The sequence below is a fragment of the Homo sapiens genome, chromosome 5, assembly GCF_000001405.40.
Source record: "Homo sapiens chromosome 5, GRCh38.p14 Primary Assembly".
Taxonomy (NCBI): domain Eukaryota; kingdom Metazoa; phylum Chordata; class Mammalia; order Primates; family Hominidae; genus Homo; species Homo sapiens.
In genome coordinates, this window is record NC_000005.10 from 160,392,928 (window position 1) to 160,419,164 (window position 26,237).

Sequence of the window (26,237 nt, forward strand, 5' to 3'; positions counted from 1 at the left end):
ATTAGGGTAAAGGAAAAATAAGTATAGGAAAAATTGAACCCAGAGGACCCAAGAATCCAAGAATCCATCAGAACAGTCTGGAAAGCTGGTTATGAATGAGGATCCTTGACCTTATCACAGGCCTACTAATCACAATCTCTAGGGTAAGGCTCAGGAATCTCCTTTTCAGCAGCCTTGATAACTTGGAGTTCTGAAGTAATTTAAAGATGACAAACAGTGATTAATATATTAGGCTATTTATTAATATGATATTCATAGCACAGGAGCTAGGGGAATGGACATTGTGAGACTAACTCCAAAGAGTATATTTAAAAGTAAGTCTTACATAAGCCAGATCATTCCTTTTCCCATTATATTTCATAATCCTCTTCTGATTTCATTAACCTCTCCATAACAAAGACGGGCGAACTCAATCTTTCATTTTGCCTTTTTGACTTCTGGGATATCTTCTCTTTTCTCCTGGCTCAATTCCTAGCCTATTGCACCATTTAGCTGGATATTCTAGTGCTTAGGTATCTTTTTCATATACCACACGAACAGGTTAAACAGATACTTAGAATTGGGAAAATCTCATGATAGCAACTAGGCAGTAGTACTTAATCTTTTCTGCTGTGTTTTTATTCTCAAAACATATTTTCACATGCCTCATTCAAAATTAAAGTTCTTAAGTTTTTTAGACATAGAATTCAGTATATCATAAATATGAAAGAGACAGAATTACAGCTTAATTTTACAATGATATTAAGATTGAAATTATTCATTAAAAAAGTATATCAGCTTACAGTGACTTCTGCTGTAGCTGTAGCTTTTGTTCAATGATGTCCGAGAAACGAGGAACTTTTTTTGAAATAGCCACACGGATATCATCACTCAGATTAAAGCAGCTTCTGGACTTTGTTTTGAAATGTAAAAGTGATGAAAATCCCAACTCACAAAGGTATGTAGTTGCAAATGGCATAAGGATTTCTAGAGCTGTCTTTGCCAGGTTTGGAAATGCTGTGAATTGGGCACACCAGAAATCCTCAAGCTTCATTGTCTCAAATTCCATTAGGATTTGGCCACTAGCTCGTAATTCAGCAAGATCATTTTTCATTAAATAACTATCATCAACAAAATCGATATTAAAAAGAAATGGATCCAATATCCATTTACTTGCCTCATTAAGATCTCCAATGGAAAAATATCCATGGAAGAAGTTGCTCAATTGTTGCAGATGCAGTGTTATTTCAGCTGCAATGAATATGCCTTCATTATCTGAAACAATTATTTCTTCAAGAAAAGGAAAATTGGTAAAATTTCTTTTCTCAATTCGTTTTTGCCAAAATGGAAACTTCCTAACAAAAGCAGATAACTTCTCTCTAGCTGATACTGTGTTCATCCCAGTCCTCTGCATAGATGCACTGAGTTCATTTAAGTGTTTGAATAAATCTGCAAGGTATGCTAGGTGAATTTTAAACTCTTTATTTTCAAAGCCATCAACTAAATTACTGCTCTTGTGGTGAAGAAACTGATTTATTTCTTCATACATTTCAAAAATGTGAGTAAGTATTTGGCCTCGGGAAAGCCACCTCATTTCAGTATGGAAAAGGAGGACACTATATTCTATGCCAATTTCTTCAAAGAAAGCCTGAAATAGGCGATGATTTGGAGCTCTCCCTTTGATGAAATTTATTACCCTCACCACAGTAAACAGAGCATCCCTCAGTTTTGTAGGCAATGTCTTTATGACAAGTGCATGAGGATTCAATAAACAATGTGTAACTACGATATGAGGTATCTCTTTTTTCACGTAGGCAACAAACTCGGAATTTTCTCCTAGCATAGAGGAGGCACCATCAGTACAAACAGAGCCACATACATCAAGTGCTATCTTATGCTTCAGAAAGAAGTCTCTGAAGAGATTGAACACATCTATTCCTTTCATGGATAGCTGCAATGGTTCACAGAAGAGAAATTCTTCTACGATCTCTCTTTCTTTTATATAGCGCACAAATGCCATTAGCTGACTGCAGTCATCCATGTCAGTTGTCTCAGCAAGCTGAATACCCACTTTAAGAGGACTGGCTTTGATATCTTCTAGAACTTGCTGTAAGATATCCTGGCTCATTTCATCAATTCTAGAATGGATCACATCATCTGATAAGGGTACCTGCTGAAGCTTTTTTTGTGCATCTGGTCCCAAAACTATTTGTGCTATTTCCAGTGCACAAGGTTTCACTAACTTTTCAGCTACTGTATGAGGATTCTTCTCCTTGGCACATAAATACGCAAATTGATACGATGCTTGTAATAAAGTATCCTCATGAGATGCAACTCCAAATGCTTTCAAGGTTTCACTCTGATCAGATGGTGCTGGCATATGCTTCAGGCTATTGAGATCATGCCCAGCTACACCACCATGCTGTCTGTTAAAATGGTCTGACAGTTTTGATGGTCTGAGGTCAGCATTTGAAAATACTGAGTTACACAACACACACTGTGGACGCTGAGTTCCATCTACTTCCGTTGTACAGGTGAACCAGTAGCGAACATAGTCATCATCCCATTTGCGTTTCTTCGACATGGCACACAAAAATTCTCAGGTAGTATTCCAGAGATGCCACAGAATTTTGCTTTGGGAGTAAAATATAACCCACACATTAAAAACCAGTGGCTAACTGAATTAAAACAAAGCCACATCACATGCTATCTTGTATATGTCAAGATACAGCCTGCAGCATGTCAATTCGAAGTAAGCCATGACAGGATATAGTTCAACTTAAAGCTAGCAACTCATAGCTAATGCCCTGGAATAAATGATTTGCCAGCAAGTTATATATGGGAGATTTGAGCTTAGACAAGTTATGAACACCTGTAAGTCCTTTATTGGTGAATTATAGTTATGGCTTAACTTGTTTTCAATAATGTATGTTACAAACAAATCTAGCACATTTTGTATCCCTAGAAAGGGCATCTCACTACCACCACCTTCTTCCACTCAGCCCCAAAGATGTATGCATACCCTCAGTTAAGAATCACTGAATAAAGGAGCAATTCACTAAATAAGGAAGGGTGGATTCTGACATGGAGGTTAAAATAATTGTATACATTTATGGGGTACAAGCACAATTTTGTTATATGCATAGACCACATAGTGGCAAAGTGAGGGTTTTTAGGGTATCCGTCACCCAAATAACATACATTGTACTCATTATTTCTCATCTACTCCCTCCCACCCCACTCTTCCACCCCACCCTTCCAAGTCTCCTTTACCCATCACTCCATTATCCACGTCCATGTGTACACATTATTTAGCTACCATTTATGAGTGAGAACATGGTAGTTCTTTTTAATAGTTAAAGACTAAACAGGTCTGTAATACTATTTGAACCTTGAGCAGTTTTGACTCCAACTTAGGCAGAGAATTTCAAATAGGTCTTTAAGTCTGATTAAGCCACCCCTGATGCAAAGGTAGGCTACAAATTGGCTCAGAGCTTCCTTGCTGCTAAGTGTAACACACTATCAGTCCATGATTCATAGTGTCCATATAAAAAAGCAAAATGGTCGGGCGTGGTAGCTCATGCCTGTAATCCCAGCACTTTAGGAGGCTGAGGTGGGTGGACTGCCTGAGCTCAGGAGTTCGAGACCAGCCTGGGCAATATGGTGAAACCCCATCTCTACTAAAAATACAAAAAATTAGCTGGGCATGGTGGCATACGCCTGTAGTCCCAGCTACTAAGCCAAGATCATGCCACTGCACTCCAGCCTGGGCGACAGAGCAAGTCTCTGTGGAAAAAAAAAAAAAAAAAAAAAAGCAAAACAACTTGCTCAGGGGAAACACAACTATTCTTGTTACCGAGACTTCAGAAAAATCCCTCTCATAGGAGAACACTCTTAAGTAAAATAACGAATTTCATGATGCTTTTCCACCTAAATACCTCTAAGGGAAAGCAGTCAAGAACACACACATGCACATACACAAAATAAGCAGCATTCCTAAGGTTTGGTTTAACCCAAAGACAGGATGTAGAAGGCCCTACCCATAGAGATTCTGATTCTCCAGCTATGGAGTGGGGGCCTAGAATCTGTATTGTAAGTATTTTAGATAATTCTTATAAATAGTAACTAGAACAGTGATCTGTGACAAGAGACACCATATCATCACAATCACTGGGAAACCCTTTCAAAATATACACGTCCCTGCACTACCTTAGAACTAATACATATCTTCTCCAGAAGCAGAACAAAAGAATATGAAATAATGTTGTTCAGGCAGTCCTGAAACACAACCTGGTTAAGTAGTCAGGCTTAGGGGAATAAAAACGTATCCTTCAAACCAATCCTTAGCTAACAAATATTCTAGGTTTCTAAGTGAATGGTCCCAATGCTTTAATAGATATTTAAATTTTCTACATTTTCTGAGTTGATGACAGCCTCCTATGAAAGTTGAAACCTAAAATGAAAGCCATATCTTTTCTCTTTCTCTCCCTTTAGCAACGAGTAAAGGCATAATCCACAGGTAGGCTCAAATATACCTTAGAAAACATTCTATCTCCAAGATAAGTAAGTGATCCCCAAAGTTTCCAAAGTTCTGTGCCAGAGAATGTGGCTGAAATAAAGTAACAGGTACACATTTAAATCTGAATGCCCACTTTGGACATTAAAAGAAAAATCACAAGCCAAGAATATCCACTTAAAGCATTAGCTTTCAAGTGGATCTACCAAGATGAACTAGTTGTAAAGTGTACTCCAATAAAATAAGCTGAGCTGTTACAAGGTTGTTATGAGCCTGTTAAATTGGAGGATGTCTGCCAATCAAAAAAGACAACCTGAAGTTTAAAGAGCTGATCTTAAGACTTCTTTTGTCAAGTAATGAGACTACATGACCACTTTTGCTTAGAACCACTTCTAATTAATGACGATAAAATTATGACATTACCATAAATGCTTATTTTTCTGTATTCTATTAATGTATATTTATCATGTAATATTTGGGGAGGAAGAGGGAATAAAGGAAAATGTTTTTAGTCACATTAGAAATCATTACAAGAGGGGCCCTGCACGGTGGCTCACGCCTGCTACCCCAGCACTTTGGGAAGCCAAGGCGGGCAGATCACTTGAGGTCAGGAGTTCCAGACCAGCCAGGCCAACATAGTGAAACTCTGTCTCTACTAAAAATACAAAAATTAGCTGGGTGTGGTGGCGCATGCCTGTAGTCCCATCTACTCGGGAGGCTGAGGCAGGAGAATCGCTTGAACCCAGGGGGCAGAGGTTGCTGTGAGCTGAGATCATTGCAGTGAGCTGAGATCACGCCACTGCACTCCAGCCTGGGTGACACAGCCAGACTCTGTCTCAAAAAAAGGCTGGGTACGGTGGCTCATGTCCATAATCCCAGCACTTTGGGAGGCCGAGGAAGGCGGATCACCTGAGGTCAGGAGTTTGAGACTGGCCCTGCCAACTTGGCGAAACCTCGTCTCTACTAAAAATACAAAAATTAGCTGTGCATGGTGATCCCAGCTACTGGAGAGGCTGATGCAGGAGAATCGCTTGATCTGGGAGGCAGAGGTTGCAGTGAGCCGAGATGATGCCACTGCGCTCTCCAGACTGGGTGACGGAGTGAGACTCTGTCTCAAAAACAAAACAAACTGGAAATCATTACAAGATCTGTTAAGAGTCCATTCCTATCCACCTTGACTATGTCTCTCAAGTATATTTTAATTTAAAATTTATCTGTTTTGAACAGTTTTAGGAAAATCAATTTAAAGTATTCTTCTCCATAACCCTCAAAAAGGGAGAACAGGTGGCAAGAATTTTCAAGGGCCTCAAAGATGAACTTACTGCCCAAGAGGCTTGTGTTTTAGAACCTCACAATTTGCACTTGCGCTTTTGTGGTATTTAGGAATTACAATATCCTAAAAAACGTAAACATTAAAAAGCATCATGATAAGGAGATATTGTTAAACAGGCATGATAATGGTATTGTGGTTGTGTTTTTAAAAAGTCCTCATTTGTTAGATACAGACAATTATTTACAAGTGAAATAAGATGTCTGGGATTCCTTTGAAATACGTACTTCAGCACACTCACAAACATGCACAAAGCGGGGTGGAGATAAAAGAAATGACTGGCCTTAAGTTGGTAACTCTTGAAGCTGGATGATGGGTATACATCATTACACCGTTCTATTTTAATGTATTTTGGAAACTTTCCATAATAAAAAGATAAAAAGCATTATCTTAAGATAGATATCACTCATTTTAAGCATGATTCTTTTGAGAGATTATCTTCAGATGCTTAATGAAAGATCTGATATAACAAAGTAAAATGTTTTTGCAAGTTTATGAAGGGTAGATATGAAAAAGTATTACAAATGAGAAAAATCAGTTAAAAGTGAACACTCACAAAACAAATATTTAGGGAATGCTAATATATATATATTCCAGCAGTGAAAACACCAAAGTGCAGCTGTAAACCTAAAACTCCAAACCAAATACAATTCAACTTCTTTCTAGCCACTGCGTATGCAAGATCATGATAGGCGCAGGTGTCTGGGGAGGCAGAGCATTTAACCATTACATTTTACAGTTAAAATCAATAGCCAGGAGAATGGGGGCAGGAACTTGGTGGCTGGGCAGACGCTCCAGGGGCAAACGCCTGGGATCGTGGCTTTGTCACTTACAGGATGGGACCTTTCCAAGCCTCAGTTCCTCCAGAGGGGATAACAGTACCTACCTTACAGGGTTGTTAGGAGATTTAATTATAAGAATGCATGCAAATAACAAGCAGCTCTTAACTGATAGGACCTGATGGTGTTACTGTTAAGGACGGAGATTTTTACAGCCTCCCGGGTGAGATAAGAACGCCAGCTGCTAGGAAAAAAAAAAAAAAGACTCAGCGCGGTCTCCGCCCGCCCGTCTCCAAGCCTGAGGCGCAGGCCTATGGGATGCACGGGCTTCTTTTAGGCGCCCGTTTCAGGCTCCAGTCCCACTCTCCGCTCAGCCTAGGGCCCAGCCTCTGGCCGTCGGAACCAGTAGAGACGGCGGTTCCTCGGGTCCAACCCCCGGGCAGGAATCTGCGGTGCGCCTGGAGAGAGAAGCATCCGCAACAACCTCCGCCTCAGCCAGGCCCGGGTTCCATCCGGGTTCTCCAGGGTGCTTCCCGCCCGCAAACTGGGAGAGGCGTCTCCCACACGCAGGCGCAGTAGCAAAGGGCTGTGGGATGGGCTGGCTGGCTTGAGTATTGAGCATGCGCGCTAGCCCTTCCCAATTTTTTTTTTAAGATTGTGTACGTGGAACAAGAAATCGTTTGTTTATTGTGTCTGCCAGAGAGGATGAACTGTACAATTTCAGGAATGGAAGGGGCTGTAAACTCCACATAGTTCTTTTTAACATGCAGAGCACTTAAACTTTTATATTGTGTCGGGCTTTGAGCTTGGAGATAAAACGCCTGATAATTGCCATGTTCCATGTGGAATAAATGAGAGAAAAAGAGAAGGAAGCTCATTGTAATTTCAGATTAGACATTTCAGCAGTGGAGGATGAGCTTCCATAGCTTGTGTACTGTTGCCTATGCAAGCTGATCCCACTTTCCGTAAGTGGGAGCATAGGGATGAATTTCCATGTCATCATCATATATCTGAAATATTTTTATTTTAAATTCTTTCAACAACATGATTTCAAAGAAATAAACCCATATTAGAGAGGTTTTAGAGAAAAATCCCAAGTAGAAACTAGGAAACGTTGTTGAAAGAAACCGGAATATAGCCCTTTCCTGTTTGGGGGTCTTTCCAGAATTCTTATAAACTTAATGAGTTTACTCATTTTTGTACAATCTTGTTAGAAGCATTCCATAAGACTAGTGTGTGTGAGGAGTGGTGGGGCGTCAACGAATGTGGGCCAGATACATCATTTTCAGGTGTTAAGGGTGAGCCTGGTAAATATTGACGGGCTGCTGAAGTTTTTTGTGGATGGAAGAAACTGCTAAAGACCAGCCTTGTTGGTCAAGAAATTAGGGCCTTCAATACTAGAGAAAGGGGTAGGCTTCAGAATCCCACAGCTAGCTTCATGTCCTGACTCCAACGGTTAGGATTTGTGCAGGTTACTTGGAGTTAATTCCATGTGCTTTTTGTAAAACTTACATATCATCCATTACCCCATGAAATTCTTTTGAGGAAGGAGATAACATTATGACAATTACAGTACATAATTCTCGCACTCAAAAGGCAGCTATTATTGAGATAATAAAATCAAAGCTCAATCTGAGTAATGTCCTAGGCATTATGTTTTTTTCTTTTTTTTTTTTTTTTTTTTTTGAGACAGGGTCTCATTCTGTTGCCCAGGCTGGAGAGCAGTGGCGCAATCTCAGCTCACTGTAACTTCTTGAACCGGGTTCAAGCAATTCTCATGCCTCAGCCTCCTGAGTAGCTGGGATTATAGGCGTGTGCCACCATGCCCAGCTAATTTTCGTATTTTTCATAGAGACAGGGCTCTGCTATGTTGGCCAGGCTGGCTAGGCATTACTTTTCCAAAATAAAACAGAAGACATGATTCTGGATATTACAGAATTCTTCCTAAATCTAAGTAAACCAGGCCTCATAGAAGAGGGAAAGAGGTCCAGAAAGGTTAGGTGACAAGATGCTGAAATTTTCTTAAACTCACAGAAGCTAATCCAGGTTCCCCTCCCTGTCCCATAAACAACTTTTCTGCCAAATATTAGAAATAATGCTACAAACCACTCACAGTTAAGTATTGTCATTTATGTATCTTTAACAAAAGATAAAATACAAAACGGACACAACATCAGCCTTTATGTTGAACCACCCTGTTTAGGTAGGAAAATGAACATTGTTTTTCATTCTTAAAGTAAATAGGAATTAAATCTATTTGCATTGCTGTTTAATTTCATACCAATCTAAAGCTCGACACTATGTATATCCAAAGTACTTGACAATTTGACTCAGTTACTCACACCACTGTTTCTGAGATGCTGACTTAATGCAGTATCCTACAGGTGGTTTTTGGTAGTTTAGAAAAGCCAGTGAGTGGGCTGTTAAAAGTTGATATACTGATGTCAGAGGTTTTGTTAGGCTGTTTTCACTGATTCTACTGTCAGTATTATCTTCACAGTGTTCTGAGAAGAGGCTTCAGGATCATGGCAATCTATTACTAATATCCCTAGAAGCTATCCTTATAATTCTTTCAATAAACCAACTTCAGGTTTTGTTTTTTTGCAAATTTTACAAACAAAGTAACAGCTGCTGGCTATAAATATTAGGATATTCTACAATTTAAAAAATCTAATATTCATGATTGTTACATAGGGGCAATCACAATGAAAACAAACGGTAATGTAAACCATATCCTCTATGATAAAGGAAAGGATTTCTACACCTAGACTTATGTCCAGAATGGTAAAAGACCTACTACTGATCAGTCAATATTGACCCAATGATGAGAAAATAGTTGTTTTCCATTCAAAGACTAACACATTTAGTCTACTCCAGAGGCCAAGGAAGAGAGAATCGCTTGAGCCCAAGACTGCAGGGCATTATGACTTTGTCTGTGAAAAGCCACTGCTCTCTAGCCTGGGCAACATAGCAAGATCCTGTCTCTAAAAAAAATAAAAATAAATGTAGTCACAGAGTTGCTAGTAATTATTTAAAAAAACAAAGCCCTGTTTTTTTCTCAAAACCAAGGTGTGCTAATACTAAATATAGGGCCACAAAAATCGAAGCAATAAAGTTTGAAGCTTAATAAATACAGAGAAAGAGACATTCTTAATAGGTAGAGAGCCAAGGCTTTTTTACATGACTCACATAAAACTGGAAATAGGCCAGGCGCGGTGGCTCACGCCTGTAATCTCAGCACTTTGGGAGGCTGAGGCGGGTGGATCACAAGGTCAGGAGATCGAGACCATCCTGGCTAACACGATGAAACCGTCTCTACTAAAAATACAAAAAATTAGCTGAGCATGGTGGCGGGCGCCTGTAGTCCCAACTACTAGGGAGGCTGAGGCAGGAGAATGGCGTGAACCTGGGAGGTGGAGCTTGCAGTGAGCCGAGATCGCGCCACCGCACTTCAGCCTGGGCGACAGAGCAAGACTCCGTCTCAAAAAAAAAAATAAATAAATAAAAAAAACTGGAAATAAAATCTTAATCCAATTTTAAATTCTATTCCCAAAAGCACACTTCATGTGCCTCTTCTTCTTTTCTTGTTTCCTCAGTATGGAAAGGAGTGAACTTACTGTGAGGCATCTGAAATATTTATTAAAGCCAGGCAGCAAGAAGAATAAACAAGGATTTTTCTATCTACAATCATCAATAAGAAGCTGAAAAGAATGTATCAGCTGCATCTATCTTGGATGGTCTTCTGACTAGTTGCTACTGTCCAAGGAAAGAGGCCATGGGGTCATCTGGCCTCTGACGTTTCATTCTATATGCCTCCATTTCCTCTTCAGTAGGTTCTCGAGTTTCATACATGCTATTGTAAGGCCGCTTCCTCTCATCAATCTGCATGGTCTCCTTGACATGAAGAAGGCGGGCCTCCTCTGCGTTCAGTGCCTATAGTGAGAGGAATAAAATGTGTATCACAGCTCTACATCAGATGTCTTTTCTTCAAAAGTGGCAGAGTACCAACACACCCCACTGAATATGAACTGCTCTATCAAAAACGCAGATTGCCTGAAAGAGCTTTGGAGTCAGCCCTTCTACTGTCAAGCTACAACTAATCACTATTTGGCTTATATGATATTTTTATACAGCACAAAACATTCTATAACATTTTAAATCAATGTTGAAGAAATTTTATTTAATAACAAAAATTAAATGAGGTTCACTTTACTTATACAAGCTCACAAATGATGCTTCTGGTAGAGACTACAATTCTGACTTTTCTCAAGGACTTGCCAAAACTTACAAACTACGGAGCTAGAAGGCAATTCTTTCCGGTCAACATGCCAATAACTCTAAAATGCTTTAGAATGCACATTTCTTCTGTCCATTAGTCATAATTACTAAATACTCCAAGAAGAAGGCAATACCTACACCTCACAATATCTCCATTAATATAACTTGAGCAAATCACTCAGACTCTAGGCTTGTTTCATCATTGTAAAAATGCATTTGGAGACAGGACTAGATCACAGGCCATTACAAATAAAGGCCTTGACAAATAATACTGGCAAGAACGGTGGCTCATGCCTGCAATCCCAGCACTTTGGGAGGATGAGGTGGGCAGTTCACCTGAGCTCAGAAGTTTGAGACCAGACTGGGCAACATGGTGAAATCCTGGCTCTATAAAAAAATACAGAAATTAGCTGCACATGGGGGCATGTGCCTGTAATACCGGCTACTTGGGACACTGAGGCAGAAGAATTGCTTGAGCCTATGAGGTGGAGCTTGCAGTGAGCTGCGGTCGTGCCACTGCACTCCAGCCTGGACAACAGAGCAAGACCCTGTCTCAAAAAAATAAAAACAACCCAAAAAACAAAGAATACTGCTACTTGTCACTTTTACTATTTAGACTTCACAAATTACCTTTTTCAATTTTTCATGCTTCTTTTCTTCATCATCACTATCTGAACTGCTCTTTCGATGCTTCTTCTTTTTCTTTTTCTTCTTCTTCTTTTCCTCTTTCAGTTTTTCTTGATGCAGCTGAAAGGGAGGATTGAAATGCAGTGTTATTAATGTGAAAACAAAGCTCAGGTGCACTACTTGGGCGGCTGAGGCACAAGAATCACTTGAACCCAGGAGGCGGAAGTTGCAGTGGGCCCAGACCGTGCACTGCGCTCGAGCCTGGGCGACAGAATGAGATTCTGTTTCAAAAGAAAAAAAAAAACTCAGGTGCAGGTTTTAAAGCCCTCCCTCCAGGACTTAAAAATTCAGGACAAATGATTATCAACTTACCTCCATGAGGGTTTGAGGTTTTTTCACAGATTCTTCCCCAGTTATCTCATTTATAATACACTCCTCAGAGTTCTGTGGGAAATACATGTAATTTGAGTTGAGTGTCATAGTTACTAATCATCTAAGAACAAGTTAAAATTTGAAACATGAGACAGCATGTTTTAGTTTGACTTAGGAGCTTCGGTTGTTTTATACCTTTAAGAACCAAAGACAATTACTTACAACAATCTCCTTCCCAGCTTCTCCAGTACAATAGGAATACTTGAAAAAAGAGTGACAGCATTTGTATCCCCATCGGCCTTCTTTCCAGTACGATCCCCAGATATGCTGCAGAGAGAGAAATTAAAAAGCTTAAAAAGGAAGCTGAAATTAGAAACTTCTGTATACTGTTGATAAGAGTATAAAATAATACAGCCCATTAAAGGTAATTTGGGAGAAAAATTATGGGGATTCAAGGCTGGCTAACAGGGAGAAGGTAGTCTGACCTGAAGTGTGAGAAGCAGGACCTGTAGTTACAAAACTCTTAAATTCTATTCCCAAAAGCCTATTAAAAAATTTAGGGTATCTGACTTCTCTTGAAAAACGTAGGAGTGGGAAATTCTGGGCCTATATAACCACTTGGCAATAATCAGCTGTTGCTGAACAGTGGATGCCCCATTAGATAGGGCTTGTGTTCTCCAGTTTGTACAATTTGCCTGGCTCACTTCACTCATGTATGATCACTGGTCTGGCTCCTATAGGGAGTTAGGTTTTTGACCCTCAACTAAGAGAGACAATTGTAGTTTGGTTACTTCAAGAGAACAGCAAAGGACAATATATGCTTTATGATGTTTACAATGCAATATGAATATACTACATTACTTATTAAATATTCTTGTCAAAATATTTAACTTATATCCAATCAAGCCGTTAGACCTAAATTCCTATTTATAAAACATACAGGGATAGAGAAACAAGTTATATAACACTACTAGGAACCAGTCAATACAGAATATGAGACAATTTACAAACTAATTGGCCTAATCTGTTAAATGGTCACCGTCATGAAAATGAAGAGATACACTCTAGAAAAGAGACATAATAACCGCATAACGATCAAAAGAAATTTGAAACGAATTCTGACTAAAACAAAAAATAGGTGTTAAAGGCATTTTTCTGTATATTTTGGAAAATGTGATTAATGACTAGATATTAGGTGATATAATGTTAATTTTCTGAAGTGCAATAATGTCGATGTGGTTATATAGAAGAAAATCCTCATTTTAAGGAGATATGTGATACAGCGTTTATGGATAAAATGTCATGATATACATAATTTCCAAATGTTTCAGTCAAATAAATATATACATAAACTATATGTGTGTATATATGTGTATTTTACATATATATGTAAAACTGTGCATATGCACACATACAACTAGACAAAGCATATAAGGCAATATGTTAAAAATTTCAGAATTTAGATGATGGGTATATAGATGAACATAGTATTCCTTCAAAATTTTTCTATTTTTGAAAAAATTCCATGAAACAGTTAAAATTTTTTTTTTTTTTTAAAGCATAGAGAATACAAATGGTTAGCTAATAAAGTTGTAGTGGAAAAATGCAATACAGAGCAAAACCAACAAGGACACAAAATTGTTCCAGTTTAGCACATACTGTGTGATTGTGGATCTTCACATCCTCCTCATACTTAGAGCAGGCAACAGCCCGCTCCTGTCCTTTGATGACTGTCCCATGTCTTGAGTACTCCACATAGTCTTCAGTCTGGGCTAAAAGCAATTCAGCTGGAGGGGCATCCAAATGTTCTTGGCCACCATACTAAAAGGACATTGGACATTATTCAATACATTTTACAACCTGATTTGCATTTAAATTTCCAGAAAACATTTATTTCTAATCAGAAAGAAAGGGAACATTCTTTACTGGGTTTTGTTATAGAAAGCACAGTAGGAAAAAAAAAGCCACAAATTTTTTCTGAGGCAAATAGAAGATGTCTCAGTTGCTATTCATCTGTTGAGTACAGTAAGTTACAAGATGGCCATAAATTCCTCTTATCTTTCTATACATGCCCTTTTGCCACAGGGCTTTGCTTTTCTTCCCATCAAGAGACGAAGTCTTTCTCTGTCCCTTGAATCTGGGCCTGACCATGTTATTTGCTTTGACCAATGAAAGTTGGCAAATGTGATGCAAGCAAAGGCACTTATGTACCACAGCACACTTTTTGCTGCCACTCTCTAGAACTCTGAGAATGCCATTTTAAAAAGCTGTGCTACCCTACTAGAGGATGAAAGACCACATGGGGTGGAGATGAGCTGTCCCAGAAGAGGTCCCCTTAGGACAATTAGCCTGTTAACTGCTAAACACAAGAGTGAGGCCATCTTAGTTCATCATCTAACCTCAGCTGAGCAAGCCCAGACCAGGAGACTTGGCCAACTGTGAGAAACAATAAATGTTTATTTTAAGCTATTAAGATTTGAGGTAGCTTGTTTTGCTGCAAAAGCTCATACAAAATTACCATCTGACTAAGAGAAAGGAAGAAAAGGACTATTCTTCATGGATTAAGAGGGCTCTCTTTGCATTATTTTCCAAATGTAAAACTAACGCTTATTAACTAGTAACTTCTCTTTAACAGAAGTTCTTCTTTAGCATTTTGGTCAAAATTACCTTTTCCAGGATGCTTTCTTTCTGCTGTTCTTTGAAATCTTCTTTTTTGACTTTGAAGGACTTATACAACAGCTCTAGCTTTGTAGGATCTGCCTGTAGATGCACTTCAGATCCCTTGTCATAGGCTTCCCATGCAAACACTAGAGTAATTCAAAACATCTTAGTGAGTTGGCAGCTGCATTACTGTATGCTTCTTGAAAACAAGCTTTAAACAATCCCAAACGTCTTATGAGCTGATATAAAATGGCTTGACATAGAGGAAACACTTACACTGTGTCTGAGCCATTGAAATGGTATCTCCTGTGTACCTAACAAAGTTATCTCCAGCATAACTCACTCTGTAAATACAAATAAAGAAAATGTTTCAGAGATTGATTTAAGGAAAATTAATTCGTAAAACTGAATCTGAATTAAAATGAACACCATCTATGGTCAGGTCAGAAAACAATTAACTTTCTCTCATCTTAAAATCTGTACATTTAACTTGATACTTACTCATCTGGATTCTTTCCTGCATTGGCATAAGGATTCTCTCTCATTGCTCTAGTTTTTGGATCATAGTAGGCAGAATTTGGATCTAAATTCCTCAAATACTAGAAGAAAAAAATATTTAAAGAATTAATGTTTACTCACAGCAAAAAGATTTCAGCAGACTAGTTGGAGGAGTTGAACATGATCAATTAAATAAATGTGTGTATACATTTCTGGGGTTCAGGTGAAGAGAAAAAACAGAATGAAACCTTATCTTAGAATGACTCTGACTATATTATCCATATGCTACCCAGAGTCGATAAAATTTATGCTGGGAAGACAAGTATTTTTCAAATATGTATGTTAAGCTGACAAGACTTACTTTTGCAATATCTTCTCGAATCCTGAGATTCCGGACAGTAATTCGTCTCTTGGAGTCAAAATTCTGTCCAGGCATGTCAATATCATCTGCATATTTATCTTCATCCTCATCTTCACTATTATGATCTTTTTCCTAAAAGAGGGAGAGGAAGGAAAAGTAAGAAGAAAAGAAAGCAGCATGTAGTTCTTTTTTTTCCCCTTTCCCTTTAACCAAACCCTTATTTACTTGTGTTCTTTAAAAGCTATTATTAGTGTTATTTATTATTAGCCATCAGAAATTTAAAAATTTAACATATACTCAGAGACAGCAAATATGTATTACCATCTGAGAATTTGGTTCCTCTTCTCCCCACTGGTGTTTTGGAGAATTCTGCATCATGAAAGAAGAAAAATCATTCATAATCTCATTCCACTTAATCCAATTAACTTTATTATTAAGATAATAAAGTATTATTATCTTATTATAAATAATATATTTATATAATAAAATATATTTTATTATATATTATATTTATATTATATATAATAAATATTTATTATATAATATATAATATGTAACTTATAAATAAGTATTAAGATAATAAAACTTAATTCTAACTGAACAAACTCTCACACTTCTCAGTTATAATGAGCGCAAAAATTCTGAATACAAGAGTGCCATTGTAAATAATTTTATTACACTGTCTATAAAGCCAGCAAATTTCAAGAGAATTTTAATTAAGATTATAACCACAAAATGGTAACAGAAAGATTAAGATGTCCAAAGTACCCAATAAATATTAATTTCTAAATGTGTTAGTCTTCAGACATACTGTATTCATTAAACGTTACTAGTTTCCTAGTAAGTCCAAAAAGAAAATATTACTGGGTTCATGTCTTCACAGCCAAAGTGAAGTTTGGGCAATGAAAAAAATCTACAAGTGACACAGTATTGTAATTTAAGGAGAGGCCAAACTCCTTGTCACAAGGATACACTTTTCTTCGCTAGCAATTGGTCAGAATACTTTCTAACTCCACAGAATGCCTACACTAACGTGGTATTTCATCATGTCCCTTCATAAAGGCTTCAAAGATTAAAAATACTTAAAAAAAAAGAGAATACATTATAGCATTAGTGAGGAGATGCAGAAACACGTGTATGTATATATACTATATAGATGGAAGCATAAATCTGCATGGCTTTTCTGAATGATGGCTAAGTGATATGTCATAAAAATTTTAGAAATACAAACTCACTGAAATACACTTCTAGAAGGTTATCCTAGTATCATGTCAATTATATAAAGATGTATAAGAATGTGATGTGCAGTGTTGTATATGTGCAATGTTTTTTCAAAACACTGGGAAAAAATCAAATTAATAGATCACTGGTTATATAATGTATTGCACTCCATGGAACACTGAACGGCCATTAAAAGTGATTCTATCCAAGGGGCAGAAAAGTATGTATCGTTTCCTAACTTTTTTGATTAAAAAAAGGGGAGGGGAGAGACAGATAGGATAAGGGTATATATTTGTATTTGTATTTATTCAAGACAGTCTGAAAGGAGCCACACACATACACAAAAGAGTTGGGGCGAGGGGAAGTTTAGTGTTAGGGTGGATAGAAACAGGGGTGGAGAGACTTCGCTGTGCATCTTCTTAAATTGTTTTAATTTTTGAGCCATGTGAATTCATACAAAAATAAATGATGCTATAGGTCTATAAATATAGACAGAAAACACGTTCCCACTGTACTCTATGTTGTTAAATTAAAAAAGAAGGTAATAAATGAATATATAAAGATGGATTCATGTAAGAAACATTTTGTATTCTAGCACACATGAACAGGTATATGTGGACAAGAGAGACCTGGAAAGGCCTACTTCAAAATGTTCACAATTAACACAGGGATATTTTCTTTTTTATATTATGTTCTAATTTTTTTCCACTTAATATGTGTTACTTTCAAAATTAGAAATATAAATATTTTGTAAAAAATAATTTTTTTGAGTTCCCACTATTTGCTAGTTCACCAAAGACATTTACATACATTTCTATAGTGACAGCTAAGTCTCTAAATCTACTGTATGTGGTTCATCTTAATATCCAAGCATCCTGGGAGCGGGGAGAGATAGCATTAGGAGATATACCTAATGCTAAATGACGAGTTCATGGGTGCAGCACACCAACATGGCACATGTATACATACGTAACAAACCTGCACGTTGTGCACATGTACCCTAAAACTTAAAGTATATAAAAAAAAAATAATCCAAGCATCCAAGTGGGCAAAAATCATTAGCCCCTTACATACATTAAGTATCCTTACTGGGGAAATAAATTACATTACGTTTACAACAAACAACAGAGAATACATTAGAACAAAAGAAACAGGCCCTTTTTCTTTTCCCAAAGTTAGTAATAAATAAAAATAATCACAACAATAATAGCTACTAATTACCCAGTGTTTACTATGTGATATGTATATAAGCTTCCTGGGGGTAGGTGTTATCATTTCTATTTCAGACATACTAAACTGCAGCTCAGAGAGGCAAATTCACTTTTTTTTTTTTTTGAGACGGAGTCTCACTCTGTCGCCCAGGCTGGAGTGCAGCGGCATGATCTTGGCTCACTGCAAGCTCTGCCTCCTGGGTTCACCCATTCTCCTGCCTCAGCCTCCCGAGTAGCTGGGACTACAGGCGCCCGCCACCGCGACTGGCTAATTTTTTGTATTTTTTAGTAGAGACGGGGTTTCACCGTGTTAGCCAGGATGGTCTCGATCTCCTGACCTTGGGATCCACCCGCCTTGGCCTCCCAAAGTGCTCGGATTATAGGCGTCAGCCACCGCGCCCGGCCGGCAAATTCACTTTTCTAAGAGCATGTATGTCTCATGGAGCAGAGATGGATTTTGTTATTGATTGACTGATTGACTGATTGATTGAGATAGAGTCTCGCTCTGTCATCCAAGCTAGAGCACAGTGACGTGATCTCGGCTCACTGCAACCTCTGCCTCCTGGGTTCAAGCGATTCTCCCGAGTAGCTGGGACTACAGGTGCTCGCCACCACACCCAGCTAATTTTTGTATTTTTAGTAAAGATGAGGTTTCACCATGTTAGCCAGGCTAGTCTCGAACTCCTGACCTCAGATGATCCACCTGCCTCGGCCTCCCAAAGTGCTGGGATTACAGGTGTGAGCCATTGTGCTCGGCCAGAGATGGATTTTAAACACCTATCTGGTAACTTACAATGTTAACTTGCCTGGTAGGTTACCTTAGTAACTCGGTAACTGCTTACTTGGTAATTATTTCAAGTTCTGTTTGCTTTGTTACTTATACATGGTTTAGAGTCCCTTTTAGAAATTTAAACTAAAAAACTATAAATGTTTACTATTTATTTGTGCCTAGATTTGTTAAAAAGAAACTTGACAACTCTAATATGCATAATATATTTACTCTATTGACAAGGATTTTTAAAAAAGAAAAAAAAACTGGCTGCAATAGACCTTTCATTCATATAAAAAATGTTTTGCCCAGTTATATAACTAATACATATTCATTGTGGGAAATGCAGAAAATACTAAAGAAATAGAAAGAAAAATTCATAAATTCTACATTAAATAAAAACTAGTGTTCTGGTCTTTTTTTCTGTGTGATAATATTATACTATCTTTTCATGTATTATTCAAATACAAGTGTTAACCAGTGTTGTTAATGAAGTCTTGAGAAATGCCATTTTAAGAACTACACAGCATTACACCATGCAGATGCACTTAACCAATTCCCTGTTCCTGGACATTTAAGCTATTCCAATTTCTTTACTATTGTGAAAAATGCTGTACTATCTTTATGCATCATGATTTTTCTAAACTCTAGAAAATTCTTTAGGATGGATAGCTTTAATAATTTAACTTGAAAAAGTAAATGTTTGTGTGTGTCTAAATATAAATAGTGGCAATATTGTTCCCAAACTGACTGCATCAATTTATATTACTATGAACTGTATACAAAGTATCAGTTTTATTTTTCCCCCAATAGCATTTCTCTCTTCCTAACTGAAGAGCTATAAAATGAATTCTTGTTTCAATTTTCATTTCTTTGTTTAAAAGAAATAAAACCTTTTTATTGATCATTTTCATTACTTACAGCCTGTTCCACTAATTTTCCTGAGGCTAATTCCTCTTGGAGTTTCTGGGCTTTCAATGTTCGTTTTGCCTTTAAAAAAAAAAAAAAGAAAGAAAGAAAGAAAAAGTAAACATTTAAATTTTACTTACAACATTCAAGTCACCACCTAAATTTTTATATATTTAAAATGAATAACTTTAAATTAATTTATTTCAGAAAAGGTCACTGAACAAACCTATCTCTTTGGGATTCCTTGTAGCCCTAGACCTATTACTCTATAAAGAGCAGGAGTTACACAGTGTTTGAACCAGGCATTAATGTAAACTGAGCCAAATGGCATCAGTAGTAAATTGCAGGGAGCAAGCCCTGACAAAAACAAGCAGTTGCCACAGAACTCTAGATGACTGACTCTTACCAGGCAGGCGTGGGGTTACCATATATTACAATATTCAAGAAAAGATGAAATCCAGATTTTTATATGAAATCTTATAATTTTAAAATGATACCTCTAATTAAAAAAAAAAGGCAGTGTGACTATGACTTCAAAGGAATAAGGGTGAATAGGTCAAATCATAACAGTAAAAACTGAAGTTGGGTTAAAATAAAATAAAATTTTCTGAAACAAATTATCCATTCCCTTTCTACTACTCCCAAATGCTATGGGAGGCAACTATAAAATAGGTTCATGGGCAAGCTATAGCTTGGGGCCATACATTTCTAACCTCACAAAACCAAAAGCTTTGGACACTAATCTGTCTTCATGCTTCCAATATCTTTTGCTACCTAAGTCAGGGAGTAAAGGACCAATATAAGAATCAAATAAGAAGAAACTGCTGGCAAGTATGGCTAGCACACTATTTCCTTTACTCAATATTACAATTATAAAGGTAGCCTATACAGTAGTACTACTATTATAAAAATGCTACCATTTTTAAAGTGCTTCAAGATTTGAAAAGTAGAGCTGCTAGAGATACAGCAAAAGGACGATTCTTTAAAAACCCCAGGAAAGCAGGGAATTTTGCTCACCAAATCAACTTTGGCATACTCTTCAACAATTTTCATGTGTTCTTCTGGATTGTAGCCATTCCACCGATCCCTCTTCCCATCATAGTCAAACATCAGTTGAGGCTGGACATGTTCATCTGGAGCTATATTAGTACCTGTAAATTTGGCTCCAACTCGCCTAGGTCTCTAAAAACAGAGTAAGATTTAATCTTTTCCTAAGTTTTTATGGCCCAAAGGAAAACTTCATACAACTTTTACAGAGTGGGCACTTTACGATCTATTCAATTTACAGTTAGTCTTACAGTAGAAAATTTTGTTGGTGTTGAACCAATTCCACTGAAACTAATTTTTATTTAACTTGTACCTAAATATAGGTGATTTCAGAAAAAGAGAAGTTAGCTCTCTGACAAAGAAAAAAGAAAGACTCTGACAACGGTTTTCAAAATTTTCAAAGGTGAACTTACCTCAAAGCAGTCTTTCTTTTTGTGTGTCATGGCCCCACAATTTTCACATGCTCCTTTGCGGTACTTAGTAATTATGGAATTCTATAAATATATATAAAGAAAAACAAAAATGTCTTAACCACGTAAGTTAGAAATAACTTTGACTCTCATTACTATTTTGTCTAGGGAAATGATTTCTTTGTTAAAAGGAAAATAAGTTAGAGTCTCCACACATTTATAAATGTGAAACTTTAAAGAGTTCAGGAGTGTAAAATTTATATAAGAAACACAAAGATAAAATAGTAATGCACTGTGAATTTCAATACCAGATAAAGGGTTTTATTATCTGTTTCTACTTTAAATAGTATTGCATTAAAAATTCTTACATTAAGTTCTTAAACTCTCCATATCCATGAAGATGTATACAGGTTGCCTACATACCTCTTTTACACCCCTCTTGTACCATTCTCCAGATGAGCTGAACTGCTTTTGTTTTTCTGGTTGTGGTCTCTGGTGTTTTAAAGTAGGTCTTTTTGAAGGATCAATATACCATGGCACTGAAGAAATATACTGAGGAATATGGGGGTTGATGTCTCTGTAATTAAAGTAAAAAAAAAAAAAATTTAAGGATAAAATTGGAAAATAATCAGTATTACAATTACAAAGGTAGCTTATACAAAATCTAAGAACAGAAATATTGCAGTGGTAGGGGGAAGAGAACAAGGTTGCTATCTCTATACTATAATAAAGAATAATTAAAAATAAAGAAGTAATTTATTTTAGAGTGAAAATATTTCCAACTAAGAAACTAAGAATAGTGATATAACTGAAGGGGGACAAGAGAGGAAGGAAAATAGAGATGTGTGTTAGTAATCTAAATCTTCTATCACAAGAAGTTTTGGTTCAAATAATGTCTATAGTCAATTAATTAAAATAATTGTGTAGGTATTATTATCTAGAGATGTGACGGTAACAACCAGAAAAACTCAAAATAGAAAGATTTCATAGCAGTCACTTCTGTAGAGCAGGCCAGGGGTGGGAACGGTAAAAAAGGACTGTTGCTATTCATTATAAGCCCTTCAACATAATTTCATTATTAAACCATATGCATATGAGTTTGATAAAATAAAAAACAAAAATGACATAAATGAAGAGAGGTTCCTCTCAAAGGATGAAAAATTAATAAACTAAGTAGACATGAATTTGAATTCTGAATGAATGGATCATACAAAAAATTAAGTACTTACTTTCCTTCTTCATCAACTTCTGCAGGAGCATTGCCCAATTTTCGCTGTTCTTCTAGCTCCTTCTTCTTTCTCCAGTCCTCTCTGGTCATCTTCTTTGGTTCTTCCAAACTCATTTCTTTGGACCCCGATAGGGGTGCAGCATTAACTGCATCTACAACTGTGGCTGACATGGTTATCTGGCCTCCTCTAGGAAAAGAAGTGAAACTTACAGTAAAAAGTAGGCCTTCATGAATTCACTCAAACTACCAAAAATACATCCTAATAATATATACTGTTTCATATGTTTTTTTTTCTCCTATATTATGTGTAAGGAAGGGTCTCTTCCCCCTCCTCAAGGTCTCTACATACTGTTAGCACTGTTTCTCTCTCAACTCCAATTTACAAATGGAGAGAGACACACACGTGTATTTAAAATTTCACAGGACTCTTTTCTCATATCCATCCTTAATCCCTCTTTCTGTGTATGTCTCAAACTTTTCTAACACAGTAACTCTTAATGAGAGAAAAGAGGGTCCTATCTCTGTACCCCTTCAAGAATGAATATCTCAAGAGTTATCTATATTCACTGCCTCCATTTCCTCACCTTCTATTTTCATCCTCACTCACTCTAACTTAGCCCTCCATTCCCTACCATTCTAAAGAAAAGAGTTACATCATTAAGTCATCAAGGACCATTGTGCTAAATCCAATGGACATTTTTCAGCTCTGTTCCTTCCCTTTTTATATATTATGTCTTGACTTCCCTGACACTACATTCTCTTGGTTTTTCTTTTTCTTTTTTTTTTAGAGACAGAGTCTCGCTCTGTTGCCCAGGCTGGAGTGCAGTGGCATGATCTCAGCTCACTGCAACCTCCGCCTCCCAGGTTCAAGCGATTCTCCTGCCTCAGTCTCCCGAGTAGCTCGATTACAGGTGCCCGCCACCATGCCCGGCTAATTTTTTCGTATTTTTTGTAGTGACAGGATTTCACCACACTGGCCAGGCTGCTCTCAAACTCCTGACCCCAGGCCATCTGCCCACCTTGGCCTCCCAAAGTGCTGGGATTACAGGCGTGAGCCACTGTGCCTGGCCCTCTTGGTTTTTCTTGTACCTCTCTTGTCATCAAATTTTGCCCAGTTATTTAATGTTGGATTCCTCAAGGCTCAGTCAGCACCTTTTAAGCCACTCTAAACTCCCACTAATGGATAAGCTCATTTACTTCCAAGGCTTCAATGGTCACAATACAACACTGCTGGCTCTCCAACTTATTTTTCTATAAAATAAAAAATAATAAAGGAACAACGTATTTTTCTATTCAAGACTTTTTATCTGAGCTTCAGATACATATATCCAATTGCTTACTTGACATCTCCACTTAGAGGCCAGAGGCATTTAAACTCAATACGTCTTAATTCAATCTCATGATCTTCCCTCTGAAATCTAATCTCCTACTCTTCCCTATCTTAATGAAAGACAACACCATCCGTCCCTTTACATTAAGTGCTTCAGCTTATCCCTACATCTATCTCATCACTAAGAACAGTTATTTTCACCTTTTGAGTATCATTCAAATGCATCTACTTCTTTCCATTCTTACTGCTACCACCCTAGTGTAAGTTATTACTTTTTCCTACTTACTGGACTCTTCTGATTCCCTCCAATCAATTCTCCACATTGCAGTGTTAATTTTTCAAAACACAAATCTGATCATATCATGTCTGACATGGTTTGGCTCTGTGTCCCCAGCCAAATCTCATCTTGAATTGTACTCCTGTAATTCCCAAGTGTTGTGGGAGAGACCGGGTGAGAGATCACTGAATCATGGCGGCAGTTTCTCCCATACTGTTCTCCTGGTAATGAATAAGTTTCACGAGATCTCATGGTTTGATAAAGGGAAACCCGTTTTGCTTGGCTCTCATTCTCTATTGTTGCCGCCATGTGAGAGGTACCTTTCACCATGTTTGTGAGGCCTCCCCAGCCACGTGGAACTGTTAAGTCCAACAAACTTACTTCTTTAGTAAATTGGCAGGTCTGGGCTATGTCTTCATTGGCAATGTGAAAACAGATTAATACAATGTCCTACTGCCCAAGCTTAAAATCCTCCAATGCAGTACCGTCCAAAAATTCAATACAGCACCATCTAAGAGAAATACAATGCTAGTCCCACATGTAATTTTATGTTTTCCAGTAGTCACATTAAAAAAGTAAAAATAAACAGGTAAAATTACTTTTACAAGATTTTATTTAATGTAATATATCCAACATATTATAATTGCAAATTTGAATTAGAAAAAAAACAACTCTGTCTTTAAAAGTTGATATGGGTTTTACACTTATTTAAACTAATCACATTTCCAGTCTCAATAACCACAAGTGGCTAATAACTATCATAACGAATAGTGACACCTGGGTGCGATGGTTCACACCTGTAATCCCAGCACTTTGGGAGGCCGAGGCGGGCGGATCACCTGAGGTAAGGAGTTTGAGACCAGCCTGGCCAACCTGGCGAAACCCCGTCGCTACTAAGCATATACAAAAAAATCAGCCAGGCGTGGTGGCGTGCACCTGTAATCCTAGCTACTCGGGAGGCTGAGACAGGAGAATCACCTGAACCCAGGAGGCCGATATTGCAGTGAGCTGATATTGCGTCACTGCACTCCAGCCTGGGCGACAGAGCTAGACTACGTCTCAAAAAAAAAAAAAAAAAAATGACGCTCCAAAGGATTTTATCATTCGTACTCTAAAAACTGACATCTTTTTAACACACCTACACGGTCCACCATGGTCTGGCACCTGCCTACCTTCCAGCCTCACCATTACAACTATCCCCGCTTCCTTCTCTACTAACTACATAGACCTTCTTGTAGTTCCTCTAGTTCCTCTAACAAACCGTGCTCCCTGTAGACACTGGGCCTTTACACAAGCTCTTTCCCAGTGGAAAGTGCTCAATGCCTGGGGGTCTACGATGCTTCTCAAAGGTGTTCTCTTCTATGTCTGACCTATAGAAAACCTCCACATATATTTGTGTAACATATAAACTGATGGCCTAAATATACTGCGAAGAGAAGCACAACAACGGTAAATTTAATCTTTATTAAAACAGCTACCATTTCTCGAGCCTACCGTGTATCACCTCATCTAATCTTCACAATAAGCCCAGTAGATAGGTCTGATGAACACCATTTTACAGTGAAGAAACAGGTTCTGAGAGGTAAGATCCTCAGCCAAGAACACATTGTAGTAAGAAATAAGGACTTCAAACACAACTCTGACTCCAAAGTCAGTTCTCTAAACCAGTATGTTATACTTGTCCACAGAACATTGGCTTCTGGGCCTAAAATATTAAAAACTAAAACTGAATAAAGTATTATAGTCACCAAGTTGTACGCACTAGTTTCCGTCGCTGTGGAGGGACCTATTTTCTCCAACTAAAAACAGTAATAGCTCCCACTTACTGAGGGCTTACGTAAGACACTGTTTAGCGCTTTACTTACATAGATGTTTTCATTTATACCCGCATGATACCCCACTGAAGTCGGATCATCTCGACTTAACAGGAAAAACTGAAGCTCAAGTAAATTTTTCTGGCGAGGAAATACAGTCTGTCAATTTGGGTACTGGAAGCAGCTTTCCCTGCTCGCAGTCCGGGGATTGCTCAAGGTCTTCGAGGCACCGCCACAAAGGCGACACTCTCATAGTTATCCCGACTGTTTCCCTGAAGACGCAGGCCTGGCCTGGCAGGGCACGAGTGCCATGAATGGGTCTCAGGACAGTGGCTTTTCGGTCCCCCGTCCTCGCTCCCTCAACACCTGAGGGCTCATCACCCCCGTGAAGATATATCCAATAATTAGGAGCCTTCGACTCATTTTCTCAGGTTCCCCAACTCCCCGTCGCCCGCAAGTTCTAACAATATTTTCTTACCCAGCCCCGCCGCAGCTAGCCCCAAGTCCATCCGACAGAATCCAAGCCAATCTCGTAATGTTTACTTCCGGCTTTTCGCCTAATTCCGGCGGCCACTGCGGTAACTTCCGGATGACCGGCACATGCGCACTAATTTCCTGGC

The 26,237-nt window shown here is 38.0% G+C and overlaps 2 protein-coding genes across 10 annotated transcripts, besides 6 other annotated features; both read right to left on the reverse strand.

The window, feature by feature from the left end:
* Positions 1 to 220: 220 nt before the first annotated feature.
* Positions 221 to 7,127, reverse strand: FAM200C (family with sequence similarity 200 member C). 2 transcript variants are annotated; one of them, NM_001303251.2, is made up of 3 exons: positions 6,712 to 7,127; positions 4,515 to 4,588; positions 221 to 2,612 (listed from the first exon to the last, which is right to left on the reverse strand). In NM_001303251.2, the coding sequence occupies exon 3, from the start codon at positions 2,561 to 2,563 to the stop codon at positions 779 to 781; it is 1,785 nt and encodes a 594-aa protein (NP_001290180.1). In that variant the 5' UTR covers positions 2,564 to 2,612; positions 4,515 to 4,588; positions 6,712 to 7,127; the 3' UTR covers positions 221 to 778. The 2 variants fall into 2 exon arrangements, with proteins under 2 accessions (NP_001290180.1, NP_071373.2); NM_022090.5 differs by lacking the exon at positions 4,515 to 4,588.
* Positions 5,269 to 5,768: an enhancer, noted in NCBI's record as "H3K4me1 hESC enhancer chr5:159825203-159825702 (GRCh37/hg19 assembly coordinates)". NCBI's record gives its function as "activates a minimal SCP1, AML or CMV promoter by ChIP-STARR-seq in naive H9 embryonic stem cells {active_cell/tissue: H9 hESC(naive)}" and the evidence as "EXISTENCE:reporter gene assay evidence [ECO:0000049][PMID:30033119]".
* Positions 6,088 to 6,773: an enhancer, noted in NCBI's record as "H3K27ac hESC enhancer chr5:159826022-159826707 (GRCh37/hg19 assembly coordinates)". NCBI's record gives its function as "activates a minimal SCP1, AML or CMV promoter by ChIP-STARR-seq in naive H9 embryonic stem cells {active_cell/tissue: H9 hESC(naive)}" and the evidence as "EXISTENCE:reporter gene assay evidence [ECO:0000049][PMID:30033119]".
* Positions 6,088 to 6,816: a biological region, named in NCBI's record as "H3K27ac hESC enhancer GRCh37_chr5:159826022-159826707".
* Positions 6,667 to 6,816: an enhancer, noted in NCBI's record as "active region_23559". NCBI's record gives its function as "activates an Ori minimal core promoter by ATAC-STARR-seq in GM12878 lymphoblastoid cells {active_cell/tissue: GM12878}" and the evidence as "EXISTENCE:reporter gene assay evidence [ECO:0000049][PMID:35858748]".
* A 1,586-nt stretch (positions 7,128 to 8,713) lies between the features above and the next one.
* Positions 8,714 to 26,154, reverse strand: SLU7 (spliceosome associated SLU7). 8 transcript variants are annotated; one of them, NM_001364521.2, is made up of 17 exons: positions 26,096 to 26,154; positions 24,185 to 24,314; positions 22,198 to 22,381; positions 21,392 to 21,545; positions 20,972 to 21,052; positions 20,529 to 20,693; positions 19,524 to 19,592; positions 15,723 to 15,770; positions 15,402 to 15,533; positions 15,044 to 15,141; positions 14,819 to 14,886; positions 14,549 to 14,688; positions 13,541 to 13,702; positions 12,104 to 12,208; positions 11,882 to 11,953; positions 11,513 to 11,629; positions 8,714 to 10,537 (listed from the first exon to the last, which is right to left on the reverse strand). In NM_001364521.2, exons 3-17 carry the CDS (start codon positions 22,365 to 22,367, stop codon positions 10,358 to 10,360), a joined length of 1,761 nt encoding a protein of 586 aa, NP_001351450.1. In that variant the 5' UTR covers positions 22,368 to 22,381; positions 24,185 to 24,314; positions 26,096 to 26,154; the 3' UTR covers positions 8,714 to 10,357. The 8 variants fall into 8 exon arrangements, with proteins under 8 accessions (NP_001351450.1, NP_001351449.1, NP_001351452.1 ...); NM_001364520.2 differs by having other exon boundaries at positions 22,198 to 22,383; NM_001364523.2 differs by lacking the exon at positions 24,185 to 24,314 and adding an exon at positions 25,669 to 25,758 and having other exon boundaries at positions 22,198 to 22,383.
* Positions 11,862 to 12,062: a silencer, noted in NCBI's record as "peak5561 fragment used in MPRA reporter construct". NCBI's record gives its function as "represses an SCP1 promoter by STARR-seq MPRAs in K562 erythroleukemia cells {active_cell/tissue: K562}" and the evidence as "EXISTENCE:reporter gene assay evidence [ECO:0000049][PMID:32103011]".
* Positions 25,866 to 25,915: an enhancer, noted in NCBI's record as "active region_23560". NCBI's record gives its function as "activates an Ori minimal core promoter by ATAC-STARR-seq in GM12878 lymphoblastoid cells {active_cell/tissue: GM12878}" and the evidence as "EXISTENCE:reporter gene assay evidence [ECO:0000049][PMID:35858748]".
* Positions 26,155 to 26,237: the final 83 nt, after the last annotated feature.

What these genes read in the sequence shown, in the direction of transcription:
- SLU7 (NM_001364517.2), bottom strand. Translation starts at nt 26,126, where the DNA reads ATGGACTTGGGGCTAGCTGCGGCGGGGCTGG. An exon ending in ACAAGAGGGGTGTAAAAGAG is followed by an intron (nt 21,053 to 21,391) that starts GTATGTAGGCAA and finishes ATATATTTATAG; the next exon opens with AATTCCATAATTACTAAGTA. An exon ending in AAGAAAGCATCCTGGAAAAG is followed by an intron (nt 13,703 to 14,548) that starts GTAATTTTGACC and finishes ATGTCCTTTTAG; the next exon opens with TATGGTGGCCAAGAACATTT.
- FAM200C (NM_022090.5), bottom strand. Translation starts at nt 2,563, where the DNA reads ATGTCGAAGAAACGCAAATGGGATGATGACTATGTTCGCTACTGGTTC.